Source organism: Homo sapiens, chromosome 15 (genome assembly GCF_000001405.40).
Source record: "Homo sapiens chromosome 15, GRCh38.p14 Primary Assembly".
In the NCBI taxonomy this organism is placed as follows: Eukaryota; Metazoa; Chordata; class Mammalia; order Primates; family Hominidae; genus Homo; species Homo sapiens.
In genome coordinates, this window is record NC_000015.10 from 49,558,862 (window position 1) to 49,583,046 (window position 24,185).

The 24,185-nt window shown below is 34.9% G+C and overlaps 1 protein-coding gene across 28 annotated transcripts in view; it reads right to left on the bottom strand.

Moving 5' to 3' along the window:
* FAM227B (family with sequence similarity 227 member B) overlaps positions 1-24,185 on the bottom strand; it is a 293,849-nt gene that overhangs the window by 231,892 nt on the left and 37,772 nt on the right. For 15 of the 28 annotated variants that reach the window (NM_152647.3, XM_005254214.4, XM_006720423.4 and 12 more), the window contains 4 exons: positions 18,768-18,803; positions 17,880-17,984; positions 16,150-16,248; positions 9,384-9,485 (listed from right to left, as the gene is read on the bottom strand). The exons of 2 other annotated variants lie outside the window; for them this stretch is intronic. In NM_152647.3, coding sequence (NP_689860.2) covers positions 9,384-9,485; positions 16,150-16,248; positions 17,880-17,984; positions 18,768-18,803 — 342 coding nt within the window. The remainder of the gene's footprint in view (positions 1-9,383; positions 9,486-16,149; positions 16,249-17,879; positions 17,985-18,767; positions 18,804-24,185) is intronic. 11 more of the 28 variants (XM_005254215.4, XM_011521322.2, XM_047432228.1 and 8 more) reach the window with 5 other exon arrangements.

Consider the following 24,185-nt stretch of genomic DNA (forward strand, 5'->3'; position numbering starts at 1 on the left):
AGGCTGACCTAACCAGTCACCACCACCAGAACCAAAACTCACTCATGTGGGCCCAAAGGTGGAGACCCCCCGCCCACCCACCATTTACAAGCAGCAGCAGTACTGTCACACTGGCAAAGACGTGAGCCATAAAACTGTCTGTATCAGGTTCAGAGATTAAATTATGCCCTGAAACCACTCCCACAGAGAGTCACAAAACAGGCATTTACTGTGGCTCTCAACCTCACTGTAGTCCAGAGATAGACTAGAATATGAATCTAAACTAGGAGTCATGAGCCCTGGAACAATTGTGTAATAGGAAAACAGATCAAGTTCCTGCCTATGTAGGATAGGAAGCTGGTGCAACCATCTCAACTCCCTGCAGAGTCTTTAGTGCACTTCATAAGGAACTCCTCCCATTAACCCTCATCAGGGCAGGTGCCTGTGCTTGCCATTTGGGCATTTGTGGGAAAGCAAGGGGCTCCAGCTGTGTCTCTCCAACCCCACAGAACAGGAAACTTATGGCACCAGGTACTCCAATGTCCAGTCCTTCACTTGAAACAACAGAGAGCACCTCAATAAACAAAGATCAGGTACCTACCTACCTGCTTATGTTGCAACTGGCTCTCACCTGAGAGCACCACTGACCAACTTCTAGGTCAAACTGCACAGCTCAATATAAAACCAGCCCACGGAAGTGCATAAGGCAATAGAAGCAAAGCCAAAACACCATAAGTCAACAGAGGCAATGCCAAAAGACCCACCCACTCCTCTCCAGACAAGCAGGAACTAGCATAAGAATTCTGACACTATAGGCCGGGTGTGGTGGCTCACGCCTGTAATCCCAGCACTTTGGGAGGCTGAGGCAGGCAGATCACGAGGTCAGGAGTTCGAGACTAGCCTGACCAACATGGTGAAACCCCGTCTCTACTAAAAATACAAAAATTAGCAGGGCGTGGTGGCACGTGCCTGTAATCCCAGATACTCAGGAGGCTGAGGCAGGAGAATCACTTGAACCTGAAAGGTGGAGACTGCAGTTGAGCTGAGATTGTGCTACTGCACTCCAGCCTGGGTGACAGAGCGAGACTCCAAGACTGTCTCGAAAAAAAAAAAATTCTGACACCAAAAATACCTGAATGTTGCAACACCACCAAAAGATCACTCTAGTTCCTCCGCAATGGTTCCTGACCAAAAAAGAAACTCAGAAATGACAAGTAAGAATTTAAAGCATGGATTGCAAGGAAGCTCAATGAGATTCAAGAAAAGATTAAAAATCAACACAAAGAAACTTCTAAAGGAATCCAGGAAATGAAGGAAGTGCTAAACATCATGAAAAGAAATCAATTAGAGCACTGGAAATAAAAAACTCACCAAAGAAATTTCAAAATACCACTGAAAGTTTTATCAATAGTCTAGACTAAGCAGAAGAAAAATTTTCAGAGCTTGAAGATCAGTATTTTGAACTAACCCAGTCAGACAAAAAGAAATAAAAAATAATTAAGAAAAATGAACAAAGTATCAAAAAAATGGTATTATGTAAAGCAACCAAACCTATGAATTACTGGTATTCCTGAAAGAGAAGGAGAACAAGTTCACAACCTGGAAAACGTATTTGAAAAAATAATTCAAGAAAAATTTCCTAATTTTGCTAGAGAGGTAGACATCCAAATTTAAAAAATCAAGAGAACACCTGCCAGATACCATACAAAATGAATACCATGAAGGCATATAGTCAACAGAGTGTCTAAGGTCAATGCTAATAAAAGTATCTTATAGCCACCTAGAGAAAATGGTCAGATTATGTATGAAGGGAATCTCATCAGGCTTACAGCAGACCTCTCAGCAGAAACCTTTCAAACCAGAATAGATTGGAGGTCTATTTTCAGCACTGTCAAAGAAAATAAATTCCCACAAAGAATTTTCATATCCCACTAAACTAAGCTTCATAAGTAAGGGAGAAATAGAAAATTTTTCAGACAAGCAATCACTAAGGTAATTTATTACCACTATACCAGCCTTATAAGAGATCATTAAGGGAGTTCTAAATGTAGAAACAAAAAAATGACACCTACTAACACAAAATTAAACTTAAGTATATAACCCACATACCCAATAAAGCAAGTACATAATAGAAGATAGAAAACAATAAGCTAAGAACTTTACAATAGAATCAAAATCTCACATATCAATACTTACTTTGAACGTATATTGTCTTAATGCCCCACTTAAAAGGAACAGAGTGGCAAGTTGACTTGAAAGACAAGACTTATCTATCTACTTTCCTCAAGAGACCCATCTCACATATAATGACACCTAAAGTCTCAGGGTTGGAGAAAGATCTACCATGCAAAGGGAAAACAAGAAAAGAGCAACAGTAGCTATTCTTATAAGATAAAACAGACATTTAACTGCTAACAGTAAAAAAGGACAAAGAAGGCCCCACATAATGATAAAGGGTTCAATTCAACAAGAAGCCTTAACTTTCTTAAATATATACACATCCAATATTGAAGCACCCAGATTAATAAAACAAGTACTTATGGACCTATGAAAAGACTTAGCCACACAATATTAGTAGGAAACTTCAACACCCCACTGACAGCATTAGACAGATCATCAAGGCAGAAAACTGACACAGAAGTCCTGATCTTAAATTCAACACTTGATCAGTTGGACCTAACAAATATCTACAGAGCACTCCACCCATCAACTAGAAATGTGCATTATTCTCATCTTCACATAGAACATACTCTAAGATCAACCACATGCTCAGCCATGAAGCAGGTCTCAATAAATTCAAAAAAAGTTAAATACTACCACAGTGGAATAACAACACAAATCAATATCAAGAAGATCTCTCAAAACCAGAAAATCACATGAAAATTACACAACTTGCTCCTAAATAGTTTTTTGGTAAACAACTAAGTTAGACACAAATAAACAAAATATTTGGAATAAATGAAAATAGAGACACGACATACCCAAATTTCTGGTATGCAGCCAAAGCAATGTTAAGAGCAAAGTTGATAGCACTAAACACCTACATAGAGAAGTTACAAGGATCTCAAATTAACAATATAATATTACACCTAAAGGAACTAGAAAAATAAAAACAATATAACCCCAAAGCTAGTAGAAGACAAGAAGTAACTAAAATCAGAGCAGTTCTTAATGAAGTTGAGACCCAGAAATCCATAAAAAGGATCATCCAAGCCAAAAGCTGATTCTTTGAGAGGATAAACAATGTCAATAGACCACTAGCTAGATTAATAAAGAGAAAAAAGGAGAAGATCCAAATAAACATGGTCAGAAATGACAAAGGAGATATTACAAACAATCCCACAAAAATACAATAGATTCTCAGAGACTATTATGAACAACACTACACACACAAGTTAGAAAATCTAGAATAAATAATAAATTCCTAGAAATATAAAACTTCCCATGACTGAAGCAGGAAGAAATTGAAACCCTGAACAGACCAATATCAAATTCTGAAGTTAAATCAGTAATAATAATAATAAAAACCTATGTACCAAAAAGAACCCTGTACCAGATGGATTCATAGTAAAATCTACCAGTTGAAGAGCTGGTACCAACCCTAGTTAAACTATTCAAAGAAACTGAGGAACCTTAGCGGGGCTTCTCCTCACATATTCTACCAAACCAACATCACTCTGATACCAAAATCTGGAAAAGACAAAAGGAAAAAAAAAACTGTAGGCCAAGATCCCTGATGAACACAGAGGCAAAAATTCTCAACAAAATTCTAGCAAACAAAATCCAGCAGTACATCAAAATGTGAATTCACCATGATCAAATAAGCTTTATTCCTGTGATGCAAGGTTGGTTCAGCGTACACAAATCAACAAATGTGGTTCACCACATAAATATAATTTTTTTAAAAAATATGATCAACTCAATAGATGCAGAAAAAGCATTTGATAAAATTCAACATCCCTTTATGATAAAAATCCTCAAAAAAGTAGGCACTGAAGGAACATACCTCAAAATAATAAGAGCCATCTATGACAAACCCACAGCCAATATCATACTAAAAGGGCAAAAGCTGGGAGCATTCCCCATAAGAACCAAAAAAAGGCAAGGATGCCCACACTCACCATTCCTATTTAACTAGTACTGGAAGTCCTAGCCAGAGCAATCAGGCAAGAAAAAGAAATAAAAGGCATACAAATAGTAAAAGAAGTCAAATTATCTCTCTTCACTAATGATATAATTCTATACCTAGAACATCCTAAAGACTCTGCCAAAAGGTCTGTAAGACTGATAAACAACTCCAGTAGAGTTTCAGAATACAAAACCAATGTACAAAACTCAGTAGCATTTCTATACACCTATAATGTTAAAGCTGAGAGCCAAATTAAGAATGCAATCATATTTACAGAAGCCAAAAATAAAATACCCAGGAATGCAGCTAACCAGGGAGGTGAAAGATCTCTACAAGGAAAACTACAAAACACTGCTCAAAGAAATCATAGATGACATGAACAAACGGAAAAACATTCCACACTCACGGAATGGAAGAATCAACATTGTTAAAAATGGCCATACTGCCCAAAGCAATCTACAAATTTAATGCTATTCCTATCAAACTACCAATACTATTTTTCACAGAAGTAGAAAAATCTATTCTAAAATTCATACAGAAACACAAAAGAGCCCAAATAGCCAAAGCAATCCCAAGCAAAAAGAACAAATTCAGAGACATCACATTACCTGACTTCTGACTACACTATAAGGTTACAGTAACCAAAACAGCATGGTACTGGTTGAACAGCAGACACACAGACAAACAGAACAGGACAGATAAGCCAAAAATAAAGCTGCACACTTATAAACATCTGATCTTCAACAAGTAGACAAAACAAGCAATCAGGAAAGGACTCCCTATTCAATAAATGGTGTTGGGGTAACTGGCTAGCCATACGCTGAAGAACAAAACTGGACTTCTACCTATCACCATATACAAAGATTGACTCAAGATGGATTAAAGACAAATATAAGATGTAATACTATAAAAATCCTAGAAGAAAACCTAGGAAGTACCTTTCTGGACATTGGCCTTGGCAGAGAATTTACGACTAAGTCTGCAAAAGCAACTACAACAAAAATAGAAATTGACAAGCAGGATCTAATTAAACTAAAAAGCTTCTGCACAACATAGGAAACTATCAACAGCATAAACAGGCAACCTACAGAATAGGAGAAAATATTCACAAACTATTCATCCAACAAAGGCCCAATATCCAAAATCTATAAACTTAAGATTTAAGCAATTCAACAAAGAAGAAATAATCCCATTAAAATGTGGATAAAGGAAAAGAACAGCCAATTCTCAAAAGAAGACATACACGCAGCAAACATGTGAAAAAATGCTCAACATCACCAATCATTAGAGAAATGCAAATCAAAACCACAAAGACATACTATCTCACATCAATCTGAGTGTGCATTATTAAAGAGTCAAAAACAATGGATGCTGGCAAGGCTGCAGAGAAAAAAGAATGCTTATGCACTGTTGGTGGAAATGTTTATTAGTTCAGCCACTGTGGAAAACAGTTTAGAGATTTCTCAAATAACTTAAAAAACAGAACTACCATTAGACCCAGGAATCCCATAACAAGGCGTGTTTACCCAAAGGAAAATAAGTCGTTCTATCAAAAAGACACATGTACTTGTATGTTCATCACAGCACTGTTCACAATAGCAAAGACATGGAATCAACCTAACTATCCATCAATGGTGAACTGGATGAAGAAAATGTGGTACATATACAACATGGAATACTATACAGCTATAAAAAGGAACAAAATCATGTCCTTTGCAGCAATGTGGTTGCAGCTGGAGGCCATTAATCTAAGCTAATTAACACAGAAACAGAAAACCAAATACCACATGTTCTCACTTATAAGTGGGAGCTAAACATTGAATACATATAGATATAAAGATGAGAACAATAGACACTGGGGACTACTAGATAGAAGAGGGAGGTGTTGGGGGTGAGGACTGAAAAACTCACTATACTATACTTACTACCTGGATGACAGGATCTTTCATACAATATACCCACGTAACGAACCTGCACGTGCACTCCCTGAACCTAAAGTAAATGTTGCAATTTTTGTAAATGATGCATATGAGCCATAGCAATAAAAAGTATATTTTTAAGTAACTGTAGGTTGTTCGCATGAGTTTATATAGTGCAATCAGTACTATTTCAATATTAAAATCATAATCAGAGGCCGGGCACAGTAGTTCACACCTGTAATCCCAGCACTTTGGGAGGCTGAGGTGGGCGGATCACGAGGTCAGGAGTTCAAGAACAGTGTGGCCAATATGGTGAAACCCCGTCTCTACTAAAAATACAAAAATTAGCCAGGGGTGGTGATGGGCACCTATAGTCCCAGCTACTCAGGAGGCTGAGGCAGAAGAATCGCTTGAACCCGGGAGGCGGAGGTTGCAGTGAGCCGTGATTGCGCCACTGAACTCCAGCCTGGGTGACAGAGTGAGACTCCATCTCAAAAAAAAAAAAAAAAAAATCAGAAATCAACAAATATAAGGGACTACCAGTATCCTGTTAGCTTTCAAATCCCTAAACTATTAAATTCCTCTCAGGGAGTGACTCAACATAGAAAAACACAATATTTTTATATTAAAGACAAATTGATACAACTATTTGCATACTCTGCATTCAGATAAGTATTTATAATCACACATTAAGCCCATCACTTTGTAAAATTTTAGAATTAGAAAGTCTCTTACAAGTCATTGTGATAGACTGAATACTGGTGCAAAATATATACATGTTCTAATCCCTGGAACCTGTAAATGTTACCTTACAAGGCAAAAGCATATTGCAAATGTGATAGTTAAAGATCTTCGGTGGGGGTTAAGATTAAAGATCTTAACTTAATCCCCACTTAAAATAAGGAGATTATCCCATGGGCTGTAAGTGTCCTTGTAAGAGGGCAGCTGAGGGAAATTTGACTATAGAAAATGAGAAAGCAATTCAAAAACAGAAGCAGAGATTGGAGTGATACAACCATAAGCTAAGGAATACTGGCAACCTCCAGAAGACAGAAGAGGCAAGGAATAGATTCTCCTCTGGGCCCTCCTAAAGACATTGGTCCTGCTGACACCTTGATTTTAGCCCTGTAAGACTCATTTGGGGCTCCTGGCCGCCACAGCTAAGAAAATTAATTTCTATTGCTTTAAGCCACTAAATATATAATTTTTACAACAGTAGTAGGAGACTAATACAGTCACTTAATCTATTAGTGCTCAAATTTGCTGGTAAGTGATGGTATTCTTTTAAGATCTCCATGATTTTTCTTGGGAAGTGAAGGGAAAAGGGAAAAACTCTATAATATGTTGACATATTTAATTTTATTAAATGAGCCATGAGCATTTTTTTCTACCAGAAATGATGACATATTCTATTTGTGGTACACAAATTATACCAATGGTTAAAATTAAAATGTTGAACAAGGTGAATAAAGGGAACTTCTAAACATTTTCTATGAATATCCTGCCTTCAGGAGATGAAGGAGATTAAGTGTCAAACTATTTGGAAAATTTCTGAGAGAATATCATTGTGTGATGCTGGAAGAAAGGAAAATAAAAGCCATACAAAATATATTTAGGTTCAGATTAATTTGTGCTAAATAGTGGACTGGAAGATAATTTTTTTCTTTCTTAAATATTAATACATTTATCTTCCTTAGGAAATATAAATCAGATGAGTTAATAGTAATAAAACCCTCACTTATTTGAATTAGTTAAAAATAATTGAAATTATGGTCAATAAAAGATGAGATCCTGAAGGCAGGTGGCTCTCACACATAAATGCATGGACAGGGAGTTTTAAAGGAAGACTTAGTGCAAGTCCAGGAGTCTAATCATTAAGTACATCTTGTCTGTTCTCAAATGAGGCTTTGCAACTTAATTAAACAACTTCTAATTTCTTCTTAGAAAAAGTTACTGAAAATCAGAATCCAGAAAAAATCAAATCATGGTTTGAGAGAAGTTGTAAGTATAAGATTTATCAAAAGACACATCCACCACAAGTGAGAACATTTGGATCATAAAAGTAGAAACAGAAACTAAAGAATGGGGGATACACAATGTTACCACCATTTTATTCTTTGTCCATATTTAAAAGCCTCTTATCTTTTTCTTAAGGGCCCTGTACTAAAACATGCTTGATTTCATAAAATCATGTAGGTGGACTAGGCACTCTCAGTAAATAGTTAAAATAAAAGCCATAGAAGAATAGGCTAACTGAAAGAATATGGGTAGCAGAAACAGCTGTTTTTGTGATCTTTAGACAATTTAATTGCAACATGCCTAATCATTAACTTTTTGCTGCAAATAAGAAAAAACCTGTCAGAACATCACTGTTTGATAACAATTTAAGAATCACTGTCTTAAAATAATCAAGACCTAATCAACCTCTTCATGTGATATACAACCCAGCTGTCAACCTGAGAGGCTGAGTGGCTTGCTGAGATCACCCAGGTAATCAGTAGCATATTCTGGACATGAAGCCAAGTATCCTTATTCCCAGTCTACTAGTGATAGTTTCTTTCTATCAAACTTTACACATGTGTTTGTGAGTAAGATAGGTCAAGATTAAATATAAATATTTGGCAAATTTGTGAATTTAGGCTTGTTTATATATTCATCATGAAAGACACCTTTTTATTTTGGGTATGGCTTTCTCATGAAAACATTTACAAACTCCAAAGTATTTACTATGATTTCTGATTTACAAATTGCTAATGCAACAAAGTATTTGAATATGACTTGTGTTTTGAAATGCTAAATATTAAACTTAAAAACACCCAGTGAGATTCCTACCATCTTCATTTCACACTACCCAGGGACATTACTTATTTGAATCAATCCTATCCATCAGTTAGTACAATAACAGAAAAGCACAGCAAGCATTTGATTCATAATTTTATGTATTGTGCTTTACTGTAACAGGTGCTTAGTCCTTGGGCATAAAATAAACTTGTAAAGTCCGCTTAAGTGGATCAAGATTCATTATAAAGTAAAAGAAAAGTCATAAATAATTTTGTAGGTAAACAGAAAAAAAAACAGGAACATACATAGAATGACTCAGTAGTTTTAAAATTATTAATATGCAAACAAAGTTCCTGTAGTCACTAAGGAGATTATGTAAGACCTTGATGCCAGGGAATACAATATTTTGAGGGGTTAATAAGAGCATAACTTTCAAAATATTACTAATACTCTACACCAACTTTGCTTTCAAAAGTAACAAAATATATTCTCATATGGGTTTAAATAAAATAACGATTTTTTCTATTTCATTCACTTTAAAAATAATTAGCATAACTGTTAATTTCAATGCTTACCTGAAAAAATGCATCCTTTCGACTTAGAGGTATGCTCATGAAAAGTGTCACATAACTTTCTGAAATTCTATCGAATAAGCAATCTTGGTTTTCTCTGTCAGGCTTAAAAAAATGTGTGAAATTAAAGTCAATATTACAATTTAAAACTGGAATTTGTTTACATGATGACAGCAATTTCATTTATTCTCATGAGCAGATCAATTGGTACAGGAGAATCAGCATGGGTTTTCGCATAATGCAGACCCAAATTTTAACACTGGCTGTTATGCATTGGCTGTATTACCCTGGGCAAGTTAATTAAGTCCCGGGTTTCTCATCTGTCAAATGTAGGTAATATATACTTATCTTAAAGGCGTGCAGTAAAATTAAATAAGGACAGGGATCATATTTTTGTAACTTTTTATTTCAAGGCCTTAGCACAGTACCTGGCAACAAAAAGCATGCAAACATTTGATGAGTTAATTATCCTTACATTCCAGGAATAAATCCCATTGGTTATGGTGTATAATCCTTTTAATATGCTGTTGCTTTTGATTTGCTAGTATTTTGTTGAGGATTTTTGTCTCAAAATTCACCATAAAAGATATTGGTAGTTTCTTTTTATTGCAGTGTCTTTTTGGGCTTTAGTATCAGAGTAATACCTTCTAACTTACAGGTTGAGTTAGAAAATGTTTCCTCTTCAACTTTTTGAAAGAGTTTCAGAAGGACTGGTGTTTATTCTTCTTTAAATGTTGGTAGAATTCCCCAGTGACGCCATCTGGTACAGGGCTTTTCTTTGATGGGAGGTTTTTGATTACTGATTTAATCTCCTTAATAGTTACAATCTAGATTTTCTATTTCTTTATGATTCCATCTTGTTAGATTGTATGTTTCTAAGAATTTGTCTATTTCAACTACATTATTCCAATTTGTTGGCATATATTCATTTACAACACTCTTATAATCCTTTCAACCTCCATAAAATTGAAAATATTGCCCCCACTTTTTTATAATTTTAGTAATTATAGTCTTCCCTATTTTTTAATAGTCATTCTAGCTAAAGGTTTGTCCATTTTGTTCTTCTCAGAGACAGAACTTCTAGTTTTATTTTTTTTCTGTTTTTCTATTCTTTATTTCATTTATCTCTGCTGCAATATGTATTATTTCCTTCCTTCTGTTAACTTAGGATTTAATTTGTTCTGTTTCCGGTTACTTAATGTGTGAGACGGTGTGGTTGATTTCAGATCTTTCTTCTTTGATTTTTAATGTTTTATTATTTTGAACGTATAAATCATAATTGTGTTTATTTATAGGGTACAATGTATCATTTTGATAAATGTATACAATGTGAAATGATTAAATCAAGCTACTTAATATATCCATTATCTCAGTTACTTATAATTTGTTGAGGTGAGACATTTAAAATTTACCTTCTTAGCAATTTTGAAGTATACAATATAGTACTATTAATTGTAGTGACCATGTTGTGCTATGGATCTCAAAAAGTTATTCCTCCTGTCTCACTGAAACTCTTTACCCTTTGAACATGTGCCCATTGCCATTCAGCCCAGCCTCTGTAACTACTGCTCTGCTCTCTACTTCTGTGAGTTCAACTTTTTTAGGTTCCACATATAAGTGAGATCATGTGATGTTTGTCTTTATGAGCCTGGCTTATTCCACTTAGCAAAATGTTCTCCAGGTTCATTCAGGTTGTCACAAATGTTAGGATTTCCTTTTTTCAAGGCCCAAGCATATTCTATTGTGTACTTACACCACATTATCCATTCATTCGTTGACAGACAATTAGGTTGATTTCCATGATGGACACTTAGGTTGATTTCCTGTCTTAGCTATTGTGCTGCAATGAACGTGGAAATAGAGTTATGTATTTGACATATTGATTTCAATTTCTTTGGATGTATATCCAGAAGTGGGATTACTGGAGCATGTGGTAGTTCTATTTTTAGTTTTTGAGAAATCCATACTGTTTTCCATATTAGCTGTAGCAATTCATATTTCCAATCATATACAAGCATTTCCTTTTCTCCATAACCTCACCAAAACTTGTTATCTTTCATCTTTTTGATAACAGTCATGTGAGATAAAATCTCACACATCAAACAGTTGTGTGAGATGACATCCCATGGTGGTTTTGGTTTGTATTCCCCTAACGATTAGTGATGTTGAGCAGTTTTTCAAATACTGTTCACATAGCTATTTGTATGTCTTCCTTTGAGAAGTGTTTAGAGCCTCTGCCCATTTTAAAAATTTTATCAAATTATTTTATCAAATTTGAAATGTATTATTTATTGTGGTCACCATGCAGTATAATAGATCATTAAAACTTATTTCTCTGGTGTAAGTGAAACTTTGCACCTTTTGATCATCTCACCTTTCCCCATTTCTCCCCACCCTCGGCCTCTGATAACTACCTTTCTGCTGTTTCTATGAGATTGACTTTTTTAAATTCCACATGTAAGTGAGATCATACAGTATTTGTCTTTCTGTGACTGGCTTATTTCAGTTAGCAAAACATCCAGTTCCATCTAGGTTGTTGGAAATTACAGGATATCCTTCTTTTTAAAGGCTATATATTTTTATATTATATATAATATATAAATATATTTAAATATATATTAAATATTACATATGCATTTATATAATTTATTAATATTATTATGAATATATTTAATATTACACATTAAATATATATTATATATAATTATATACCAAATCTTCTTTATCCATTCATCCATTGATGGACATTCAGGTTGCTTTCATATCTCGGTTATTGCAATTAATGCTAAAATGAACATGAAAATGCAAATCTTTTCAACACAGCAGTTTAAACTCCTTTGGATATAAACAGAAATGGGATTGCTGGATCTTACGGTGATTCTACTTTCAGTTTTTTTGTGGAAACTTCATACTATTTTCCAAAATGACTACTAATTTACTTTGTTCCTTTTAAAATCAGGTTGTTTTCCTGCTATTAAATTGTTTAAATTGCTTATATATTTTGGACATTAACCCCTTATCAGATGTATGGTTTTCAAATATTTTCTCCCATTCTACAGGTTCTCTCTTCAATCTATTGACTGTTTGCTTTGCTCTGCTGAAGCTTTTTAGTTTGACGCAATTCCATTTGTCTATTTTTTGCTTTTGTTGCCTGTACATTTGGCTTCATACTCAAAAAATCACCGTACAAACCAACGTCATGGAGCTTTTCCTCTGTTTTCTTCTAGTAGTTTTACAGTTTCAGATCTGATATTTAAGTCTTTAATTCATGCTGACTTTTGTATATTATGTGAAATAAGGGTTCAATTTCCGTCTTCTGCATGTGGATACTCAGTTATCCCAACAACAGTTATTGGAGACTGTCCATTCTCTGTTATGTGTTCTTGGCGCCTTTGTTGAAAACCAATTAGTTGTAAACGCGTAGATTCATTTGGGGGCTCTCTTTTCTGTTCTATGCGTATATGTGTCTGTTTTTATGCCAATACTCTGCTTTTTTTGGTTACTACAGCATTGTAGTATATTTTGAAGTTAGGTAGGGTGATACTTCAAGCTTTGTTCTTTTTGCTCAAGATTGCTCAGACTATTCAGGGATCTTCTGCAGTTCCATATAAATTTTAGGACTGTTTTCTTCTATCTCTGTTTAAACATCACTGGAATTTTGTTAGGGATTGCATTGATTCTGTAGGTTGCTTTGGGTAGTATAGACATTTTAATAATACTAATTCTTTCAATCTATAAACACAGGATATCTTTCCATTTATTTGTGTCATTTTCAATTTCTTTCATCAGTATTTTATATTTCTAGTATACAGATCTCTCACCTCCTTGGTTAAGTTTAAATCTAAGTATTTTACTTTTTGTTATTACTATTGTAAACAGAATTGTTTTCTTGATTTCTTTTTTGTATAATTCATTGTTAGTGTACAGAAATGCTACTAATTTTTGAATGTTGATTTTGTATCCTGCAACTTAATTCATACATTTCTAACAGTTTTTTGGTGGAATCTTTAGGATTTTCTGTATATAAGATGTTGTTACAAACAGAGATATTTCACTTCTTCCTTTTCTATTAGGATACTTTTATTTCTTTCTCTGGCCTAATTGCTATGGCTTTCTTCTTTTTTAATGTAAGAATTTACAGCTATAAATTTCCCTCTTTGCACTGCTTGTGCTGCATCTCATAAGTTTTGGTATGTTGTGTTTTTGTTTTCATTTGTCTCAAGGTATTTTCTGATTTCCTTTTTGATTTGTTCTTTGACCCATTGGTTGTTCAGGAACAATGGGAACTCAATATATTAACAATGGGAGTATAAAATTGTACATTCACCTGGAAAAACAATGTGACATTTTCTCATTAAGCTGATCATTTTCATACCAAACAACCCACAATTCCTTTCCTTCTTTATATGTCTTATACCTTCTGTTTGAGAGCAGGGCACTTTCATAGGCCTGTAGAAACTGAGGTATATAATATTTATGCTTGGGAATAGGCATTCCTCTTCTTTTGCTAAGCCTTTAGGAGCTGGACTCAAGTCAAGTAATGAGCTGTATTTGGGTTTTGTTTCTTCTATGGTCACTCAGTGAAACACAGGCTTCAATTTGCTCTTGTGCTACCTCATTTTTAGAATTCTCAAATAACCAACTTTTGGCCTAATTGAGTTTCTTTATTTTCTCTTTTCAATGTTATTAATTTTCTCTCTGATCTTTATTATTTTATTTTCTTCTGCTTTCCATAGGTTTGGCTTTTTTTTTTCTTTTTCCACTTTCTTAAGGTAGAAGCTGAACTTTCTCTTTCTGGAGAACTTTCTCTTTTTTCTAATGCAGGCATTTTAATTCTATGATTTTCTCTCTAAATACTGCTTTAGTTATATCTCACACATTTTAATCTGTTTTCATTTTCATTTAGTTCAAAATAATTTTTGATTTCCTTATTGATTCCTGATTTGATCCATGGTAACTGAGAATTGTGTTCATTTCCAAATATTTGGGGATTTTCTAGATATGTTATTATTTTATAATATAATTCCATGTTGATCTGAAAACACTGTGTTTGACTTAAATTCTTATAAACTTATTAGGATATTTTCCTAGCTCAGAATGTAGTTAATCTTAGCAACTGTTTAATGTGGACTTGAGAAAAATGTGTATTCTGCTGTTATTGGGAGGTGCTACGATTTGAATGTGTCCCCCAAAGTTCATGTATTGAAAACTTGATCCCCAATGCAGTGGTGTTGGGAGATGAGGCCTAATGGGAGGTGTTTGGGTCTTGGGGACATTACCCTCATGAACAGATTATGCCATTATCACAGAAGTGGGTTTGTTATCATAGGAGGGGCCCTCTTGCTTGTTCCCTCTCTCACTCTTCTACTTGCTGCCAAGGGATGATGCAGCAAAAAGGCCTTCACCACATGCCGGTCCCTCTATCTTGGACTTCCCAGCCTACTGTGAGCCAATTCATTCTGTTCATTATAAATCACCATTCTGTTATTGTAGCACAAAACCAACTAATACAAGAGAGATGTTTAATAAATGTCAATTAGTCAAGTTGCTTGACAGTGTTGTTCAAGCCTTCTATATCATACTGTATCCTTACTGATTTTCTGTATATTCTACCAACTATTCAAAGAAGGGGCTGAAGTCTCTATACGTACTGATTTGTGTATTTCTCTTTGAAGTATTAAGTTTTTATTAAATGTGTTTTGAAGCATTTTTATTAGGTGCATAAATATTTGGAATTGTTATGTTAGGTTGATGAATTGACCACTTCAACATTATAAAATTACTTTCTTTATCCCTGGCAACATTGCTTTGAAATCTACTTTGTATGATGGATTAAAAAAAAACTGACTTTGTAAGTTAAATGCCTTCCTTTTGTTGCTGTTTAGAGGGGAATGATGCACTTTCCAGGTATTTGTCTTTTTTGTAGTTAAGGTCCCAAGAGCAATTTTTTTTAAACATTAAGGGTATTATAATATTATTACTGAAATTCTTCCAGTAAAACACAGTTTCAGGTGCTGTTTATTTCTTCTCTTATTGATTCCCAGATACCCCCTCTGATATGGTTTGGCTCTGTCTCCCCAAACAAAACTCATCTTGAATTGTAATCCCCACATGTCGAGGGAGGGACTGGGAGGGAGGTGACTGAATCATGGGAGTGGTTTCCCCCACGATGTTCTCGTAATAGTCAGTGAGTTCTCATGAGATCTGTGGTTTAAAAAGTGTGGCACTTGCCCTTCCCTTTCTGTCTTTCCTGCATTCCTGTGAAGAAGGTGCCTGCTTCCCTTTTGCCTTCCACCATGATTGTAAGTTTCCTGAGGCCTCCACACCATGCGGAAATACGAGTCAATTAAATCTCTTTCCTTCATAAATTGCTCAGTCTTAGGTGGTTCTTTATAACAGTGTGAAAACAGACTAATACACCTTCTTTATCTGTTCAATCCTAATCAGAATTCTCACCTTTCTAATTCTGGATCTTCTGATTAAAAATCTGACTTAGACTCTAATTATATAATATGTGATATATATTATGATAGATATAATATATGAAGTCTAATTTCAAAGATCCAGAATCTTTTGAAATCTATATTAAAGTTTTAACTCCTCTGAAAGAACTCTAGACATCATATAGGATTTCTAATGTGTGGAATGCTCAAAAACTAATCTCTGTAGTTGCATCCAGAAAAACATTTTTGTACTAGACTTATCTCTATTGAAAAATTAATTATGCCAAAAATCAACTTAAAAAATAAATTTTTAAAAATCACTATACCCTAAATTTATGGAGAAACCACCACCAAAAGGAGTCATGCAAAAGAGCAATGGAGGCTTCTGAGAGAAAATGAGTCTTCCAGATTTTAAAAACTCTTTCCTATGGAAAAAAACAAGAGAGAGATGCATGGAGATTAAAATATATTACAAAACATGTTAATGTAAATAGGCTTTATAAAGAGTATGCTTTCATTGCTTATAGATCAGCACTGTCCAACAGAAATTTAACATGAGCCACATACATAATGTTAAATTTTCTTGTAGCCACATTAAAAAAGTAAAAAGTGAAATTAATTTTAGTGACATTTTATTTAACCAAATATATTTAAAATATCATTTCAACATAATTTTTATAAAAATTATTAAAATATTTTGGATTCTATTTTTAGTACTAGGCATTTGAAATACGGTATATATTTTTGATAGCATATCTCAACTTGAACACTACATTTTCATCAGAAGTACTAGATTAATATTTAGACTTCATAGAATACATGTTTGTAATTTTCTTCCAAACATAATTAAAAGCTTTTTAATAACTAAATCAAATATAGTTTTTAGATTTATATATAAAGTAGTTAAAAGAAATACAATAAAAAATTCAGCTCCTCAGTCATACTAGTCATATTTCATATGCTCAATAATCATATTTGGCTAGTAGATATTGAAAGGACACCAAGAACAGCAAAAATGTAAGATTCATGCCATTATTTCCCCCTTTTCCACTGAGGACAAATATCAACAATCAATCATGGACTTATATTCTAATAAGCCCCTATCCTGAGCCTGTGTAGTATTCTTCCTAAGCAAACAATTAATCAAAATTGGAATAAATGGCTAAATTTGTCTACTGTAACTACTAGAAAATATAAGTTTTGGTTTAAATAGGCAGATTCAATAGATTATTTTATCTTCTTAGTCACAAAATGTTTTAATGCCAGATTGAGTAACATTCAAGATTTCTTTTAAGTGCATCCAGAGGTATGAATTCCTCTTCAAGTACAGGTCTATAAAAAGGACATCATATAAACTCTCATGGCAAGAAAATTATTATGTATTCTGTGGGGACACATCTTTTTCATAGGCCACTAAGTATAGTATGATGTACACTGATAACAGCTTCAACTTGGATTTAATACTTTTTAATGAAAAAGAACATATGTAATGTACATAAACACAAAGAGCAGAAAACTGAAATAGAGGGCAAAATGACCAGTTTTACCAGGTAACCATCCCACCCTCATTTTAGCCCTCGTATTCACTGGCTATTGATCTAATTACCTCCCAACACCTGCAGTTTTTCACTGTTTGGTTACCCTACAGGGATACTACCCCAAAATTCCCACAGACACTTGAAGACTCAAAAGAAACACCCAGAAGGGTTGTGAAGAAGGGCACTCACAACTTATTTCAGGATCAAAAATGAGCAGGCTAAAACATCCTGAGCTGACAGAGCAGGAACAGACAAGAAGGAAAAAACACCTGTTACGGTTACATGCCAAGCCAGTGTACGCTAGCAACCTCAGGGTCCCAAAGCAGTAACACAGAGTTTAATATATTCTTTTCTGGTAATTAGCGGTTAGACACATCACTGGTCTTTCCTGCCAAATTTAATGCCCAAAGGATCAAATCTTGTTGAACACCTAATTTATCATAGCTTTAAGTAAAGGTCTGATTCATTAAATCATACTGTCAAAATGTATCCTACAATAAAATGAAATATTTACATACATCAAAATTATGGGCTTTTAAAATAAAAAGATAAATTTGTTCAGCATCCAAATGTCTGGGTAGCTGAGTAAGTTCATTTGCTTTGAATCCTGTGAAGCTGCAACCCTAGAAAGAGGAAAATATAACAGGAGAGTAAATATTTCACTCTTCTCACTATAGTAGACTCATATAACTACAGAAGACCAACATTTAACTATCACTCACTAACATAATTACTTTACTTCTTTTTACTAAATTAACTAAAAATTATATAACCCATCTAAGAAAAACCTTTGGCCGTGCACGGTGGCTCACGCCTGTAATCCCACCACACTGGGAGGCTGAAGTGGGTGGATCACTTGAGGTCGGGAGTTCGAGACCAGCCTGGACAACATGGTGAAACCCTGTTTCTATTAAAAATACAAAAATTAGCTGGGCGTGGTGGCACGTGCCTGTAATCACAGCTACTTGGGAGGCTGAGGCAGGAGAATCACTTGAATCTGGGAGGCAGAGGTTGCAGTGAGCCACGGTTGCGCCACTGCACTCCAGCCTGGGCCACAGAGTGAGGCCCCATTCCCCACACCCCCTGCAAAAAAAGAAAAACCTTCATATTTTCTGCTTCTTTGAAATTAAGAACCCTAGCACATTCATATGTCATATCTAAAATAAAAACAAAATCATATTTCAGAACTAATTTTGATATAAACTCAAATGATCAAGAATTTTAGCTAGACTACACATAAGTAAATAAAGACTAGGCAGAAAGAGAAAGCTTCTATACCTGTTTCCAACTCTCTCCTCTGGTACCTCTCTCTATATTTAGAGCCTTGTTTATATTGTTGTAAACATTATTTTAGTCCTACATAATACACTTGATATACAATCTGGCAGAACAGAAATTTTAAGTACCTCTATATTCTTCTCTGTCTCCATTTCATCTGAAAGCTGGAAAACATTTTAAATAAACTCTTTAAAACTCTAAATTAAAGAAATTTTACATTTAGTAAATTTGTTCAGTTAACTAGTATGCATAGATAACTATAGATATATGTATATATATCCTACAGAGGCCTAAAATACTATTGCTGTGTTTGATATTGGAAATTCAAAGATGGCCTTTGCCCTCAAACTAGTTATGGTTCAAAAACGGAATCAGATACATATACAAACAAAACAAATAGATATAAGGGCTATAATAAACAAACTACTTATTACAGTTTGGTTCCCTGGGAAATAGACTCTCTGGGGAAGTTTAGTGTTCAGAATGTTTATTGTGAGTGCTTTTGGAATCAATGCCTTTTGGAATCAATGCCTTTGGCAGTCAAGGGAAGAGGCAGGATTGGGCAGATGGAGAAATTAGTTATGATGGAGGCCTAATAGCCACAACTGGCTCAAAGAAGAGTTCTAGAGCTGAAAGTATTGATCAGAGCTGTCCTGCATTGGACTGAAATAGCCAAGCCTTTCTGCTCCAACTTGAGCTGTCACTGGATGGTTCCTGGAAAGATGTTTTCTCAGAAGAGGAAGTTCTCTGGAGGTAAGTAAACCAATGAAGGGGCTGACAGTTGAAGGGTGTCCCTTAACAGCACTCTTAGGCCCTAGAGCACAGATCCTTCTTTGAAAAGGAATTGGGTGGCATATTTTAATGTCTACTACACTGCTTTATACACATAGATTAGTTTTTGATCATCTAGTCATGTTTAAATATATATATATAAAACATACATAATATGTATACATACTATAGACAGACATAGATAGATAGATAGATAGATAGCAGGTTAATTTCCACATTCCTAATTACTCCAACAATTACTAAGCTTACAAGTAAGTTTTACACACACAATACCACACATACACACATATTACACATACACATATATTAGAAAGAAGATGACATATGACATATAAAACAAATTGGAAAGAATGATGTATTGCTTCCAGAAAGAGGATCATATTATTCTCACTTTTTAAAGTGTACACAGGAATAAGAAAGAGAGACTTTTTAGGAAAAATGAGATCAAATATGATTGGAAAGAAGGCTATATGCTTGAAAGCTATAGATCAATAAAGATGGGGTCAGAAATGGGACTATATTAAAACAGGAGGCTGCTGTACAGCAAAGGAAACAATTAACAGAGTGATGACACAACCTTTGTAATGGGAGAAAATATTTGCAAACCATCTATTTAACAAGAGACAAATATCTAGAATATATTAGTATTTAAGCCACTGGAACAACTCAACAGCAAAACTAAACACAAATAATACCATGAAAAAGTAGGCAAAGGATCTGAATATACATTTCTCAAAAGAAGACATATAAATGGCCTACGAAAAACGTTCAACATCACAAATCATCAGAGAAATGCAAGTCAAACCCACAATGAAATATCATCTTATCCAAATTAGAATGGCTATTATCAAAAGACAACAAATGCTAGTAAGGATGAAGAGAAAAGAGAATTCTTATATACTATTGGTGGGAATGTAAATTAGTACAGCTATCATGGAAAACAGTACAGAGGTTTCTCAAAAAACTAAAAATAGAACTGTCATACAATTAGTCCAGCAATCCCACTACTCAGTATCTCTCCAAAAGAAAGGAAATCAAAGGGATACCTGCACTCTCAGGTTTACTGGAACACTATTCACGATAGCTAAGGTATGGAACCAATCTAAGTTTCCATCAAAGGATAAATAGATAAAATGTGGTGTATATACACAATGGAATACTATTTAGCCATTAAACGAATGAAATCCTGTCATTTGCAGCAATATGGATAAAACTGGAGGTTGTCTGTTAAGTGAAATAAGGCACAGAAAGACAAGTATTATGTGTTCTTACTCATATGTGGGAACTTAAAAAGTTTATTTCGTGGAGGTATAGAGTAGAATGGTGGTTACCAGAGGCTGTGAGAAGGGTGTTTGGGGAATGGAGGAGATTAAGAGAGGTTGGTTAATCTGTACAACCATATAGTTATTTAGAATGATTAAGTTCTACTGTTTGATAGCATAGTAGGGCAACTATAGTTAGCAACAATGTATTGTATATTTCAAAATAGCTATAAAAGAATATTTGAAATGTTCCTGACACAAAAAAATGATAGCTATTCTAAATAACCTGATTTGATCATTACACATTGCATGCATGAATCAAAATATCACATGTACCCTGTAAATAGGTACAATGATTATGTATCAATAAAAAAGATGAAGTCAGATTTAATTAAATGTTAAGGTTAATCTCCAAGTCCTGGCTTTATTCTGCAGGAGGAAAAGAAACAGTGGAAGTTTTCAAGCAGCAGAGTTGCAGTAACAAAAAACATAGTTTTTGGTCATATAACCTGAAAACGAGACCACAAAAATATAAATACATGTTAAAATTCTGATTGATAAATCCAATAAAACTTTTATATTTAACAAAAAGAATAACTATTAAAACTTTTGTTAGTATAATTTACCTATAGCCCATTTCAATAGATTTTGAAAAGTCATTTGATAAAACTAAGTAGTCACAATTTTAAAACTTCTTTGAAAGGAGCATGCCTTGTAAATGTGAGGAAATACAGAAGAGCCACTTGGCTGAGCGAGTGCCCAGCTACTAACCAGCATGCTTAAGCACCATCTACTGAATCACATCCCAAACTTCAACACTAAAAATACTTTGCCAATACATGCCCCGATAAAACCAAGGACAATAATTCAGCTACAAAAAAAGACCCAACACAAAGTCTCAGCCCTCTGAAAACATCCAGAAACAAAGCCAATTGACTACACTCAAACTACACCACAGTTAAAGGAACATCAGCCCACACAGATGAGAATCAGCACAAGAACTCTGGCAATTCAAAAAGCCAAAGTGTCTTTTTCCTCCAAATGACTGCACTAGTTCCAGTAATGGTGCTTAACCAGGTTGAAATGGCTGAAATGACAGGCAAAGAATTCAGAACATGGATAGAAATAAAGATCATGAAAATTCAGAAGAAACTGAAACCAACTCCAAAGAATCTAAGGATTACAATAAAACAATACAGGAGCTGAAAGTTGAAATGATAATTTTAAGAAAGAACCAAACTGAACTGACAGAGCTGAAAAACACGCTAAAAGTATTTAATAATACAATCACAAGTATTAACAGCAGAATAGACCAAGATGAGGAATGAATCTCAGACCTCAAAGATTGCTTCTCAGAAATAACTCAGTCACACAAAAATAAATAAAAAATAATGAACAAAACCTCTGAGAAATATGAGATTATGTAAAGAGATCAAATCTACACTCACTAGAGTTCCTGAAAATGGGGGAGAGAAAAGGAACTTGGAAAACATATTTCAGGACATCATCCATGATAATTTCCCAAATCTCGTTAGAGAGGCCAAAATTCAAATTCAGGAAACACAGAGAGAACCCTTGTGAGATACTATACAAGATGACCATCCACAAGACACATAGTTATCAGATTCTCCAAGGTTGACACGAAAGAAAAAATATTAAATGTGGCTAGAGAGAAGGGCAGGTAAACCTACAAAGGGAACCTCTCCAGGCTAACAGCAGACCTTTCAGCAAAAATCCTACAAGCCAGAAGAGATTGGGGGCCTATATTCAGTATTCTTTTTTTTTTTTTTGAGACAGAGTTTCGCTCTTGTTGCCCAGGCTGGAGTGCAGTGGCACAATCTTGGCTCACTGCAACTTCCCCCTCTCAGGTTCAAGTTCTCCTGCCTCAGCCTCCCAAGTAGCTGGAATTATGCACCACTGCGCCTGGCTAATTTTGTATTTTTAGTAGAGATGGGGTTTCACCATGTTGGTCAGGATGGTCTCAAATTCTTGAACTCATGTGATCTACCTGCCTCGGCCTCCCAAAGTGCTGGATTACAGGCGTGAGCCACCGTACCCAGATGTATTCAGTATTCTTAAAGAAAAGAAATTCCAACTAAGAATTTCGTATCTAGCCAAACTAAGCTTCACAAGTGAAGAAGAAATAAGATCTTTTTCAGAAAAGCAAATGTTAAAGGAATTCATTACCAACAGACCTGCTTTGTAAGAGGTCCTTCAGGGAGTGCTAAATACGGAAATCAAAGACCGTTACTAGCCACCAGAGAAACATATTTAAGTACATACACCAGTGACACTAAAAAGTACCCACACAATCAAGTCTGCATAATAACAAACTAACAACAAGATGACAGCCCTAGGGGAACTGTCAGACCTGAACTACGCAAGGCCATCTTGCCCAAAAAATGGGGCCAATCCATCTTGGGCACCCCTTGGTCTGCTGGCCTCTCCCAGGGCCCCAGCCTGGCTGTACCTGCTTGCAGTACACATACCAGTGACACTATAAAGCAACCACATAAACAAATCTTCATAATAACCAGCTAACATCATGATGACAGGATCAAATCAACACATATCAATACTAACTTTGAATGTAAATGGGGGCTAAATGCCCCCGTTAAAAGGCACAGAGTGGAAACCTGGATAAAGAACCAAGATCCACTAGTACGCTATCTTCAAGAGACCCATCTTGTGTGCAATGACACACATAGGCTCAAAGTAAAGAAATGGAAAAAAATTTACCAAGAAACTGAGAAACAGAAAAAAGCAGGAGTTGCAATCCTAATTGCAGACAAAACAGACTTTAAACCAACAAAAATCAAAAAAGACAAGGGAATTACATAATGGTAAAAGACTCAATTCAACAAGAAGACCTAACTATCCTAAATATATATGCACCCAACACAGGAGAACCCAGATTCATAAAGCAAGTTCTTAGAGACCTTCAAAGAGACTTAGACTCCCACACAGTAATACTGGAAGACTTTTAACACGCCACTGACAATATTAGGACAGATCATTGAGGCAGAAAATTAACAAAGCTATTCAGGACCTAAACCCAGCACTGGGTCAAACGGACCTGGCAGACATCTACAGAACTCACCACTCCAAAATAACAGAATACACATTTTCATTGCCCACATGGGACATACTCTAAACTTGATCACATAATCAGAAGTAAAACACTCCTCAGCAAATGCAAAAGAACTGAATTCATGACAGTCTCTTGGACCATGCAGCAATCAAATTAGAAATTAAGACTAGGAAATTCACTCAAAACCATACAACTACATGGAAATTGAATAACCTGCTACTGAATGACTTTCAGGAAAAAAAAAAGGAATTAAGGCAGAAATCAGGAAGTCCTTTGGAACTGATGAGAACAAAGGTATAACACACCAGAATCTCTGGGACACAGCTAAGGCAGTGTTAAGAGGGAAATTTATAGCACTAAATGCCGACATCAAAAAGTTAAAAAGATCTGAAGTTAACAAC